Below are 14,066 nucleotides of genomic sequence, written 5' to 3'. Positions count from 1 at the left end.
GAGAGGAGGGTGACAGAGCAAGAGATTATCTTTAAAAAAAAATGGCCAGGGGCAGTGGCTCACGCCTGTAATCCCAACACTTGGGGAGGCCGAGGCAGGTGGATCACCTGAGGTCAGGAGTTCAGGGCCAGCCTGACCAACAAGGAAAAACCCCGTCTCTACTAAAAACACAAAATTAGCTGGGCATGGTGTGGCATGCCTCTAATCCCAGCTACTCAGGAGGCTAGGGCGGGAGAATTGCTTGAACCTGGGAGGCAGGGGGTTGCAGTAAACCGAGATCACATCATTGCACTCCAGCCTGGGCAACAAGAGGGAAAATCCACCTCCAAAAAAGAAAAGAATACTAGATTGGCCTATAAGGTTTTATGAAAAAGTGGGTGACATTTGGCTTTCTCTCTTTAAAGAAGATTTTCAGAAAATATTAAAAAATAATGGGAGGAGGAGCCAAGATGGCCGAATAGGAACAGCTCAAGTCTACAGCTCCCAGCATGAATGACGCAGAAGACCGGTGATTTCTGCATTTCCATTTGAGGTACTGGGTTCATCTCACTAGGGAGTGCCAGACAGTGGGCGCAGGACAGTGGGTGAAGTGCACTGTGCACTAGCTGAAGCAGGGTGAGTCATTGCCTCACTCAGGAAAGTGCAAGGGGTCAGGGAGTTAGCTCCCTTTCCTGGTCAAGGAAAGGGGTGACAGACAGCACCTGGAAAATCGGGTCACTCCCACCCTAACACTGTGCTTTTCTGACGGGCTTAGGAAACGGCACACCAGGAGATTATATCTGGCACCTGGCTCGGAGGTCCTACGCACACGGAGTCTCGCTGATGGCTAACACAGCAGTATGAGATCAAACTGCAAGGCAGCAGCAAGGCTGGGGGAGGGGCACCGGCTATTGCCCAGGCTCTCTTAGGTAAACAAAGCAGCCAGGAAGCTCGAACTGGGTGGAGCCCACCACAGCTCAAGGAGGCCGTCCTGCCTCTGCAGGCTCCACCTCTGGGGGCAGGGCACAGACAAACAAAAAGACAGCAGTAACCTCTGCAGACTTAAATGTCCCTGTCTGACAGCTTTGAGGAGAGCAGTGGTTCTCCCAGCATGCAGCTGGAGATCTGAGAATGGGCAGACTGCCTCCTCAAGTGGGTCCCTGACCCCTGACCCCCAAGCAGCCTACCTGGGAGGCACCCCCCAGTAGGGGCAGACTGACACCTCACACGACCAGGTACTCCTCTGAGACAAAACTTCCAGAGGAACGATCAGACAGCAGCATTCGCGGATCACGAAAATCCACGATTTTGCAGACACCACTGCTGATAGCCAGGCAAACAGGGTCTGGAATGGGCCTCTAGCAAACTCCAACAGACCTGAAGCTGAGGGTCATGTCTGTTAGAAGGAAAACTAACAAACAGAAAGGACATCCACACCAAAAACCCATCTGTACATCACCATCATCCAAGACCAAAAGTAGATAAAACCACAAAGATGGGGAAAAAACAGAGCAGAAAAACTGGAAACTCTAAAAAGCAGAGCACCTCTCCTCCGCCAAAGGAACGCTGTTCCTCACCAGCAATGGAACAAAGCTGGACAGAGAATGACTTTGACGAGTTGAGAGAAGAGGGCTTCGGACCATCAAACTACTCCGAGCTACAGGAGGAAATTCAAACCAAAGGCAAAGAAGTTGAAAACTTTGAAAAAACTTTAGACGAATGTATAACTAGAATAACCAATATAGAGAAGTGCTTAAAGGAGCTAATGGAGCTGAAAGCCAAGGCTCGAGAACTATGTGAAGAATGCAGAAGCCTCAGGAGATGATGAGATCAACTGGAAGAAAGTGTATCAGTGATGAAAGATGAAATGAATGAAATGAAACAAGAAGGGAAGTTTAGAAAAAAAAGAATAAGAAGAAATGAACAAAGCCTCCAAGAAATATGGGACTATGTGAAAAGACCAAATCTGCATCTGATTGGTGTACCTGAAAGTGACGGGGAGAATGGAACCAAGTTGGAAATCACTCTGCAGGATATTATCCTGGAGAACTTCCCCAATCCAGCAAAGCCAGCCAACATTCAGATTCAGGAAATACAGAGAATGCCACAAAGATACTCCTCGAGAACAGCAACTCCAAGACACATAATTGTGAGATTCACCAAAGTTGAAATGAAGGAAAAAATGTTAAGGGCAACCAGAGAGAAAGGTCAGGTTACCCATAAAGGGAAGCCCATCAGAATAACTGCTGATCTCTTGGCAGAAACTCTACAAGCAAGAAGAGAGTGGGGGCCAATATTCAACATTCTTACAGAAAAGAATTTTCAACCCAGAATTTCATATCCAGCCAAACTAAGCTTCATAAGTGAAGGAGAAATAAAATACTTTACAGACAAGCAAATGCTGAGCGATTTTGTCACCACCAGGCCTGTCCTAAAAGAGCTCCTGAAGGAAGCACTAAACATGGAAAGGCACAATCGGTACCAGCCACTGAAAAAACATGCCAAATTGTAAAGAACATCAAGACTAGGAAGAAACTGCGTCAATTAACGAGCAAAATAACCAGCTAACATCATAATGACAGGATCAAATTCACACATAACAATATTAACTTTAAATGTAAATGGACTAAATGCTCCAATTAAAAGACACAGACTGGCTAATTGGATAAAGAGTCAAGACCCAACAGTGTGCTGTATTCAGGAAACCCACGTCACGTGCAGAGACACACATAGGCTCAAAATAAAAGGATGGAGGAAGATCTACCAAGCAAATGGAAAACAAAAAAAGGCAGGGGTTGCAATCCTAGACTCTGATGGAACAGACTGTAAACCAACAAAGATCAAAAGAGACAAAGAAGACCATTACATAATGGTAAAGGGATCAATTCAACAAGAAGAGCTAACTATCCTAAATATATATGCACCCAATACAGGAGCACCAAGATTCATAAAGCAAGTCCTGAGTGACCTACAAAGAGACTTAGACTCCCACACAATAATAATGGGAGACTTTAACACCCCACTGTCAACATTAGACAGATCAATAAGACAGAAAGTTCACAAGGATACCAAGGAATTGAACTCAGCCCTGCACCAAGTGGACCTAATAGACATCTACAGAACTCTCCACACCAAATCAACAGAATATACATTTTTTTCAGCACCACACCACACCTATTCCAAAATTGACCACATACTTGGAAGTAAAGCCCTCTTCAGCAAATGTAAAAGAACAGAAATTAAACTGTCTCTCAGACCACAGTGCAATCAAACTAGAACTCGGCATTAAGAAACTCACTCAAAACTGCTCAACTACATGGAAACTGAACAACCTGCTCCTGAATGACTACTGGGTACATAATAAAATGAAGGCAGAAATAAAGATGTTCTTTGAAACCAACGAGAACAAAGACACAACATACCGGAATCTCTGGGACACATTCAAAGCAGTGTGTACAGGGAAATTTATAGCATTAAATGCCCACAAGGGAAAGCAGGAAAGATCCAAAATTGACACCCTAACATCACAATTAAAAGAACTAGAAAAGCAAGAGCAAACACATTCAAAAGCTAGCAGAAGGCAAGAAATAACTAAAATCAGAGCAGAACTGAAGGAAATAGCAACAAAAAAACGCTTCAAAAAATTAATGAATCCAGGAGCTGGTTTTATGAAAGGATCAACAAAATTGATACACTGCTAGCAGGACTAATAAAGAAAAAAAGAGAGAAGAATCAAATAGACACAATAAAAATAATAAAGGGGATATCACCACTGATCCCTCAGAAATACAAACTACCATCAGAGAATACTACAAGCACCTGTACACAAATAAACTAGAAAATCTAGAAGAAATGGATAAATTCCTCCACACATACACTCTCCCAAGACTAAACCAGGAAGAAGTTGAATCTCTGAATAGACCAATAATAGGATCTGAAATTGTGGCAATAATCAATAGCTTACCAACCAAAAAGAGTCCAGGACCAGATGGATTCACAGCCAAATTCTACCAGAGGTACAAGGAGGAACTGTTACCATTCCTTCTGAAACTATTCCAATCAATAAAAAAAGAAGGAGTCCTCCCTAACTCAATTTATGAGGCCAGCATCATCCTGATACCAAAGCCGGGAAGAGACACAACCAAAAAATAGAATTTTAGACCAATATCCTTGACGAACATTGATGCAAAAATCCTCAATAAAATACTGGCAAACCGAATCCAGCAGCACATCAAAAAGCTTATCCACCATGATCAAGTGGGTTTCATCCCTGGGATGCAAGGCTGGTTCAATATATGCAAATCAATAAACGTAATCCAGCATATAAACAGAACCAAAGACAAAAACCACATGATTATCTCAATAGATGCAGAAAAGTCCTTTGACAAAATTCAACAATGCTTCATGCTAAAAACTCTCAAAAATTAGGTATTGATGGGACTTATCTCAAAATAATAAGAGCTATCTATGACAAACCCACAGTCAATATCATACTGAATGGGCAAAAACTAGAAGCATTCCCTTTGAAAACGGGCACAAGACAGGGATGCCCTCTCTCATCACTCCTATTCAATATAGTGTTGGGAGTTCTGGCCAGGGCAATCAAGCAGGAGAAGGAAATAAAGGGTATTCAATTAGGAAAAGAAGAAGTCAAATTGTCCCTCTTTGCAGATGACATGATTGTATATCTAGAAAACCCCATTGTCTCAGCCCAAAATCTCCTTAAGCTGATAAGTAACCTCAGCAAAGTCTCAGGATACAAAATCAGTGTACAAAAATCACAAGCATTCTTATACACCAATAACAGACAAACAGAGAGCCAAATCATGAGTGAACTCCCATATGCAATTGCTTCAAAGAGAATAAAATACTTAGGAATCCAATTTACAAGGGACGTGAAGGACCTCTTCAAGGAGAACTACAAACCACTGCTCAATGAAATAAAAGAGGATAAAAACAAATGGAAGAACATTCCATACTCATGGATAGGAAGAATCAATATCATGAAAATGGCCATACTGCCCAAGGTAATGTATAGATTCAATGCCATCCCCATCAAGCTACCAATGACTTTCTTCACAGAATTGGAAAAAACTACTTTAAAGCTCATATGGAACCAAAAAAGAGCCTGCATCACCAAGTCAATCCTAAGCCAGAAGAACAAAGCTGGAGACATCACCCTACCTGACTTCAAACTATACTACAAGGCTACAGTAACCAAAACAGCATGGTACGGGTACCAAAACAGAGATATAGACCAATGGAACAGAACAGAGCCATCAGAAATAATGCTGCATATCTACAACTATCTGATCTTTGACAAACCTGACAAAAACAAGGAGTGGATCCCCTATTTAATAAATGGTGCTGGGAAAACTGGCTAGCCATATGTAGAAAGCTGAAACTGGATCCCTTCCTTACACCTTATACAAAAATTAATTCAAGATGGATTAAAGACTTAAATGTTAGACCTGAAACCATAAAAACCCTGGAAGTAAAACTAGGCATTACCATTCAGGACATAGGCATGGGCAAGGACTTCATGTCTAAAACACCAGAAGCAATGGCAACAAAAGCCAAAATTGACAAATGGGATCTAATCAAACTAAAGAACTTCTGCACAGCAAAAGAAACTGCCATCAGAGTGAACAGGCAACCTACAAAATGGGAGAAAATTTTTGCAACCTACTCATCTGACAAAGGGCTAATATCCAGAATCTACAACGAACTTAAACAAATTTACAAGAAAAGAAATACAACCCCATCAAAAAGTGGGTGAAGGATATGAATAGACACTTCTCAAAAGAAGACCTTTATGCAGCCAAAAGACACATGAAAAAATGCTCATCATCACTGGCCATCAGAGAAATGCAAATCAAAACCACAATGAGATACCATCTCACACCAGTTAGAATCACAATCATTAAAAAGTCAGGAAACAACAGGTGCTGGAGAGGATGTGGAGAAATAGAAACACTTTTAAACTGTTGGTGGGACTGTAAACTAGTTCAACGATTGTGGAAGTCAGTGTGGTGATTCCTCAAGTATCTGGAACTAGAAATACCATTTGATCCAGCCATCCCATTAGTGGGTATATAACCAAAGGACTATAAATCATGCTGCTATAAACACACATACACACGTATGTTTATTGCTGCACTATTCACAATAGCAAAGACTTGGAACCAACCCAAATGTCCAACAACAATAGACTGGATTGAGAAATTGTGGCACATATACACCATGGAATACTATGCAGCCATAAAAAATGATGAGTTCATGTCCTTTGTAGGGATATGGATGAAATTGGAAATCATCATTCTCAGTAAACTATCACAAGGACAAAAAACCAATCACTGAATGTTCTCATTCATAGATGGGAATTGAACAATGAGAACACATGGACAAAGGAAGGGGAACATCACACTCTGGGGACTGTTGTGGGGTGGGGGGAGGGGGAGGGATAGCATTAGGAGATATACCTAATGCTAAATGACGAGTTAAGGGGTGCAGCACACCAGACTGGCACATGTATACATATGTAACTAACTGGCACATTATGCACATAAACCCTAAAACTTAAAGTATAATAATAATAATAATAATAATAAAATAAAATTAAAAAATGAAAAATTTGTTTGCCTTGTAAATAAACTACCAAAAAAAAGGAAAAACAAGAGGCAGATTATTTGTGGAGATAAGTCTTCCCCCTATCAATGAGTAAAGATTTTTGCCCTTTAAAAATTTTTTAAGTCATGATTTTAGGTAAATGAATGACTTACGTTGACGTGGAATTCTATTTCATAACATCAAGTGTTTAAACCTTTAATATATTTAATAGGCTTCCCAAAATCAAATTACAACTTCAAAATTTTATGTTCTGACCTCTAACTTTGGGATACTACAGAGGCCCCTGAAGCACCCAAAAGAGAGGTAAACAGGACTATTTAACATGTTAAGTCACATGGCTAGCACTGTCAAAATAAAAAATAATGTTGAACCTTCTTTAGGTTATATTCAGTGTATGTCATCAATCCATTCTAAATTTGTGTAGGATTTCTAAAATTCTTGTATTTTTTTTTTCTGAGAAGGAGTCTTGCTCTGTCACCCAGGCTGGAGTACAGTGGTGCAATCTTGGCTCACTGCAACCTCCACCTCCCGAGTTCATGCCATTCTCCTGCCTCAGCCTCCTGAGTAGCTGGGACTACAGGCACCCACCACCATGCCAGGCTAATTTTTGTATTTTTAGCAAAGACAGATTTCACTGTGTTAGCCAGGATGGTCTCGATCTCCTGACCTCGTGATCCTTCCACCTCGGCCTCCCAAAGTGCGGGATTACAGGCATGAGCCACCACATCCACCCTAATTATGGTTATTAAGTTATTGTAGACCACAGAAATAACCAAATTTCCTTGTCAATTGTCTTTATCTATAACTATTTAAAGTCATTTCCACAGTTAATTGCTTAATGGTGATGCAGTTTCTAAAAACTTCACAAGCATGCAAAATTCTAGAATATGGTGTCTCTTAGAAGATTCATGAAAGAATGAAAAGGATCCTGAAAAACACTCGTGAACACAGATTTTTAATAACTTTAATATAATGGGTAAAAATTCCCCATAAGTTCCCTGATACCCCAAGAATTGGACAGGTTAAGAATTCTCAAAAGTTAGGCTGGGTGCAGCGGCTCACGTCAGCAATCCCAGCACTTTGGGAGGCCAAGGCCAGTGGATCACTTGAGGTCAGGAGTTTGAGACCAGCCTGGCTAACGGTGAAACCCCACCTCTACTAAAAATGTAAAAATTAGTAAAAATTAGCCGGGTGTGGTGGTTTGTGCCTGTAATCCCAGCTACTCTGGAGGCTGAGGCAAGAGAATTGTTTGAACCCAGGAGGTGGAGGTTGCAGTGAGCCAAGATTTTGCCACTGCACTCCAACCTAGGTAACAGAGTGAGACTCTGTCTCAAAAAAAAGCCCAAAAGTTTAATAAATAGACCAACTGGTTTATAAAACTGCTAACCTAAGTAAAACAAAAATTGTATACCAAGGAAATATTTTGCCACATTTGCATGCTAAATCACCAATATTGAAATTGTTTAGGTATATAATTTAAATAAACTCCATGGTCTAAGTCAAATCACCTATAACTACTCATCAGTTACCAGTGCCATGCACGTAATTTGGAGAAACAGCTGGTATTCAAGAGGATGTAAGTCTAATGTTAATTAAGCACAGACTTATGAAGAACCAGGATGGCCACCTTATCCTTCTTAAGTCCTTAAAACTTTTGTTATTAAAAGTTCTGCATTCCATAACTCATCATGGAAAGAGAAAATGATCCAAATTAAATATATTGGTGTGGTGATTTCTAAACTGCTAAAATAGTTTATAACCAATGTTTAGTTTGTCAAACCTATATTTCTAGGAAAACAATCAAAACTTCAGGTACATTTGGTTACCTGATGGGCCATTTAAACATTTTATAAAGGGATTTGATTCAGTTGTCATTTTCAGTGCATGTTTTCTGATTGTATAAAAGCTCTTCCATGCGAGAGAGTTGATGTTAAAACAGTACATTATTACCCTGAAGTGTATTTTCACCAGGTAAAGAAAGCCTTTTATGGTTCGCTGAGGACAGTCAACTCCTTCAAAATCTGGAATCTGATGACTGGATCTTCTGAGAACATCAGAGAAGGACTGCCCTTGCCATCCACATGACAGCAAAACTTTAAAACCTTAAACTTTGGGTTCATAGTCTCACAACTCAGAAAGGTCCTTCCACACTTGGAACCATATACCCATTGGAACCCTTAAGGTAAAGCTAACAAGGACAGTTCCCCCCAGAAGAAGATGGCATCCTTAATGTGAACAGCTTTTCCCACGATCACAGATCAAGACTTCTCTACTATCATGAGACACTTATCTTAAGTATCTGTGCAGCTGCTAACACTTACAGCATGTGGAGAAAACATGGGGTATTATAAAAATTTGGTTGTAGGGAATTAACAAAAAAACCCACTTAGTTAAGCAAGTAAACTCTTTATCTAATTCATTCTTTAATCTATTTGATTTTAGGTGGTTTGATTTATGGGGACCCTGAGTTAGGAGCATATACCAAATTCTTGGTGTTATCCCAACAGTCATAAGAGTCTCCCTGTTGCACTGTACTTACTCAAATGTTTTAAGAGTTTGCATGCAGGCATCTCTAAAATATCAAATGGTATCTCTTCAACTGGAATGACAAGAGATTAAAAAAAAAGGGCAACCGTAAGGACACCATAACCTATGAGTGACATGCTAAACCGGAAACCCAAAACAATGGGGGTGACATGCTAAACCAGAAACCCAAAACAATGGGAGTGATGTACTAAAACGGGAACCCAAAACAATGGGAGTGACGTGCACTAAAACCAGAACCCAAAACAATGGGAGTGACGTGCTAAACAAGAAACCCAAAACAATGGGAGTGACTTGCTAAAACTGGAACCCAAAACAATGGGAGTGACGTGCCAAAAGCGGAAATGAAAACAATGGGAGTGATGTGCTTAAACCAGAACCCAAAACAATGGGAGTGACCTGCGAAACCAGAAACCCAAAACAATGGGAGTGACGTGCTAAACCAGAAACCCAAAACAATGAGAGTGATATACTAAAACTGGAACCCAAAACAATGGGGGTGACGTGCACTAAAATCAGAACCCAAAACAATGGGAGTGACTTGCTAAAACTGGAACCCAAAACAATGGGAGTGATGTGCTAAAACCGGAAATGAAAACAATGGGAGTGATGTGCTAAAACCGGAACCCAAAACAATGGGAGTGACCTGCTAAACCAGAAACCCAAAACAATGGGAGCATCCTGCTAACCCAGAAACCGAAAACAATGGGAGTGACCTGCTAAACCAGAAACCCAAAACAATGGGAGTGACGTGCTAAAACTGGAACCCAAAACAACGGGAGTGACGTGCTAAAACTGGAACCCAAAACAATGGGAGTGACCTGCTAAACCAGAAACCCAAAACAATGGGAGCATCCTGCTAAATCAGAAACTGAAAACAATGGGAGCATCCTGCTAAACCAGAAACCCAAAACAATGGGAGTGACGTGCTAAAACCAGAACCCAAAACAATGGGAGTGACGTGCTAAACCAGAACCCAAAACAATGGGAGTGACGTGCTAAAACTGGAACCCAAAACAATGGGAGTGATGTGCTAAACCAGAAACCCAAAACAATGGGAATGACGTGCTAAACCCGGAACCCAAAACAATGGTAACTAAGAGTGATGCTAAGGCCCTATATTTTAGTCACACTCGCAACTAAGTGAGAACTTGACTGAAAAGGAGGACTTTTTTTTCTAAGACAGAGTCTTGGCCTGTCCCCCAGAGTGGAGTGCAGTGGCAAAATCTTGGCTCACTGCAAGCTCCACCTCCCAGGTTCAGGCCATTCTCCTACCTCAGCCTCCTGAGTAGCTGGGACTACAGGCACCCACCACTACGCTTGGCTAATTTTTTGTATTTTTAGTAGAGATGGGGTTTCACCTTATTAGCAAGGATGGTCTCAATCTCCTGACCTCGTGATCTGCCCACCTCAGCCTCCCAAAGTGCTGGGATTACATGTGTGAGCCACCGCGCCCAGCCAAAAGGAGGAATTTTTTAAGCAAAATTATGGGAGGTCATTGTTTTGAACTAAACTCATGCAATAGGTCCCAACAGACCAAACCAAACCAAAATGGAGTCACTCATGCTAAATGTAACATAATCAAACTAAGACTTTAAGGAAACACATAAATCCTAGAACAAACCAGGTTTTGTTTTTCTCCTGTAAACAGGATGTTCCAGCATAAGAAGACACCTTCTACTCAAGTCCTTGTTCCACCTTTTCAAATCTCACTGGTCTATTTCCCAGTGGGTTTCTAAACCAAGTAAGTACATTTGCAATGGTAATAGTGACACCAGTGACTGAAGTTTTGGCCAATCTCTCAAAATTGAGAAAATAACCAAAGGGAAGGCATTGTTAAAGTGAACTAAGTATGGCCTGAGAAGGACTCCATAATTCTATATATGAGTCATTGTGGATGAACTGTAACCTACCTTAATAGGTATAGAAGAATGAAAAACTAACTTAAGAGTATGCATCTTGAACAACAGCTACATCTTGGCCAATCCCAATGGCCAAACTTCAACCACTCAGGCACTGCCAAATGTTCAAACTGTGTTCAAACAAGGCAAACACTGAGTTGTTTCTGTACCTCACTTCCGATTTCAGTATGCCATTTCCCTTTTGTCTATAAATCTTCTTCCACCACACGAATGCGCTGGAGTCTCTGTGAATCTGCTGTGATTCTGGGGACTGTCTGATTCGTGAATCGTTTATTGCTCTATTAAACTCCTTTAAAGTTTTTCTTTTAACAGAACTAACACAGATGAATTTCCAGATCATGAACAGATGTTTTGTAATACCCAACGTTGTAACATGAATAGACTCTTCCTTAGATAGATAACCTTGTTTTTAATATGAATAGACTCTCCCTTAGCTGAGAAAACCAGACAAACTCCATTTGGCTCCTTCATTTACAAGACATCAAGGGCTCCCTACCCACCCCCTTTCCTCAAGGACTTTAACTTGTGCAAGTTGACTTTCAACATATCAAAGAGTGCAATTAACTGATAAAGTGCTTAGACAAGCGATGTCTGCAGTTCCCAGCAATTTATTCAGAGATAGTATCATAAAGCCCCACATTTGTCTGGCAGATAATGCCCAGAGCCCCCTCACCTATCACTTTGTGGTGAATTTAAAGCCCCTGCACCTGGAACAGTTTGTTTTCCTGTAACCATCTGTCTTTTTAACTTTTTTGTCTGTTTTTTTCTTCTGTAAAGTTGCTGCAGCTAGAATCCCCCCTCCCCTCTCTAAACCAAATTATAAAAGAAAATCTAGTCCCTTCCTCGGGGCCGAGAGAATTTCGTGCATTAGCCGTCTCTCAGTCACCAGCTAATAAAGGACCCCTGAATTCGTCTCAAAGTGTGGCGTTTATCTCTAACTTACTCGGGTACTACAGTTTCAACTATGGTAGAAGACTTGAGTAAGTCAAATACAGTCCCCCTAAATTTGACTATTATTTAGGTTAATGGTGAGTTTAGAAGAAATAAGTTAAGACTACACAGAGTGGGCTAAAGTGCAAATAAACACTGGAAATATTTCCCAGAAAATATGACTTTGAACAGGCTGCTGCACACCCTGCATGTAGAGATAAACTAAGAAAAATGTCTGGAGAGTTATTTAAGGGCCTATGGTTAACTCAGTCCTCAAGATGTTCTGGGTTTCATCCATGAATCAAGGAGGACCTCCCAAAAGCTGTTTGGGACCACACTCTTTGAGCAATGAGCACACCTTACGATGGAAGCTGTGCTTTAGCGGCAGATGACCATTTCCACTGCACAACACGCTGTGCTTTAGCGGAAGATGACCGTTTCCACTGCACAACACTACAAGTGGTTACTGCCAGGCCGGTGTGAAATATGTTCCAGCACATAATCTATGTCACCAATGAAGGTGGTGGTTCGGACTTGGTGCACACAATCTTTCCTGTCCCACAAGAACACAGCATGCTCTCTTCTCGGGTTCCATTCCAATTACGTAACAAATATGACTGCCTTTTTTGTCTCGGCATCAGAAAGATCAGAGGAAAATTTGCACCCAACTGAGACTACTCTAAGCTCTTATAACCTGCCTATATCTACAGGTCAGCTTTATCTTATTTATGTATATTTCCTTCAACCTGAGTTTTACTTATTTCTACTTTTCCTTTTTAATTCACAGACACCCATAAACTCAGAAAATACAGTGTAAAACAAAGTGAAGAACAAGTAAGCAACTCACCAGAGATTTATTCGTTTCTTGTTGCTCTTGGAAACACCCAGAGGACACTGGAAACATAGCTGGGATAGAAGGCAAATGACGTGGATTAAGGAGAGAACTGGTGTGGTGTGGTCCCAGATTCTTCTGCCCAACGCTCTAGAGACATTACCTGGGAAAGCCCTCCTCCCTCCTGAAAAAGAAAAACTTCTCCAGGGGAGAAGAGTTCTTCACGCCTCATTAGGGGCAGCAGAGGCTCAAGTTAAGATAAGATACATAGACAAGTACATTAATTGGTAGACATTAGATGCACAATTTATTTTTGAATAAATATATGTATTACCTACTAATTTAGTAACAATATTATCTAAAGATATAATCTAATAATTTAATACAAAGAAACATAAGTTCACTAAAATAAATGTTATAGAAATATACTGGGCTGTATTAACTATTTTCCTATTAATATGTAGATTCCACAAATAACTTCATATGAGTGTTCCCGTGACAGTACCTCTTGCTTTTCTATACCTGAACATCATGGAAAGTGCATCTTGCAAACCAGCAATTTTGGCCTACAATTACGTTTTTTAAAATGTACATAATGCGTATTTCCTACAGTACACCATTCCACTCATGTTTCCCAATAACACTTTTCCTTCTATCCAAGCCCTCATATTATGCTCTGACAATAAATTGGGCTTTTCCATCTGACTTGTCCAGTGAATGGACAATGGAAAATGTGATGCAAATATCCATTGGTTCTTCCCTTTTTGGGAGAAATTGTGAAGAGGTCTGGAGCTACCCTGTTGGAGACACAGGGCCTAGCCAAGAGTCACCACAAACCACCAGATTGTGAAGGAAACTATCTTAAACCAACCAGGCTCAGTCAAGGCACCAGGTGACTAAGGCCTTTTTGTGATCCAGGCAACACAAATATATCAACTACCCAGGTGAATCCACCACACCAAAATGCAGATCCACAGAACTTCAAACAAATAAAATGGTGGTTGTTTTTTATAAGCCAGTAAGGTTTAATTAGTTCCTTAAACAGCAAGTATTAACTGTTACACCTAAGTGAACAGAATTCACTTCTGTGTTTTTAACAAAATTATGTAGGGGGAGAAAATCTTAAATTACAAATCAAATACAATCAATAGAACTTCTCAATCTAATGCTAAATTTGGTGATGGACTAGGTTTAATATATCTCAGACGCGAAAAAACGAGCTAAGATTG

At 40.6% G+C, this 14,066-nt stretch overlaps 1 long non-coding RNA gene across 3 annotated transcripts in view, besides 1 other annotated feature; it reads right to left on the bottom strand.

The window, feature by feature from the left end:
- LOC101927209 (uncharacterized) overlaps window positions 1-14,066 on the bottom strand; it is a 46,966-nt gene that overhangs the window by 31,837 nt on the left and 1,063 nt on the right. For 2 of the 3 annotated variants that reach the window (XR_007058113.1, XR_007058112.1), the window contains exon 2: window positions 12,853-12,911. This is a non-coding gene — a long non-coding RNA (uncharacterized LOC101927209). Of the gene's footprint in view, window positions 1-9,148; window positions 9,209-12,852; window positions 12,912-14,066 lie in introns of those variants that run through there. The other variant, XR_007058114.1, reaches the window with a different exon arrangement.
- Window positions 9,548-10,049: an enhancer, noted in NCBI's record as "OCT4 hESC enhancer chr4:49168367-49168868 (GRCh37/hg19 assembly coordinates)". NCBI's record gives its function as "activates a minimal SCP1, AML or CMV promoter by ChIP-STARR-seq in primed H9 embryonic stem cells {active_cell/tissue: H9 hESC(primed)}" and the evidence as "EXISTENCE:reporter gene assay evidence [ECO:0000049][PMID:30033119]".

The sequence above is a fragment of the Homo sapiens genome, chromosome 4 (assembly GCF_000001405.40).
Source record: "Homo sapiens chromosome 4, GRCh38.p14 Primary Assembly".
NCBI lineage: Eukaryota > Metazoa > Chordata > Mammalia > Primates > Hominidae > Homo > Homo sapiens.
The sequence above is the reverse complement of the archived record's forward strand: the minus strand, read 5'-3'. Positions and strand labels throughout refer to the sequence as shown.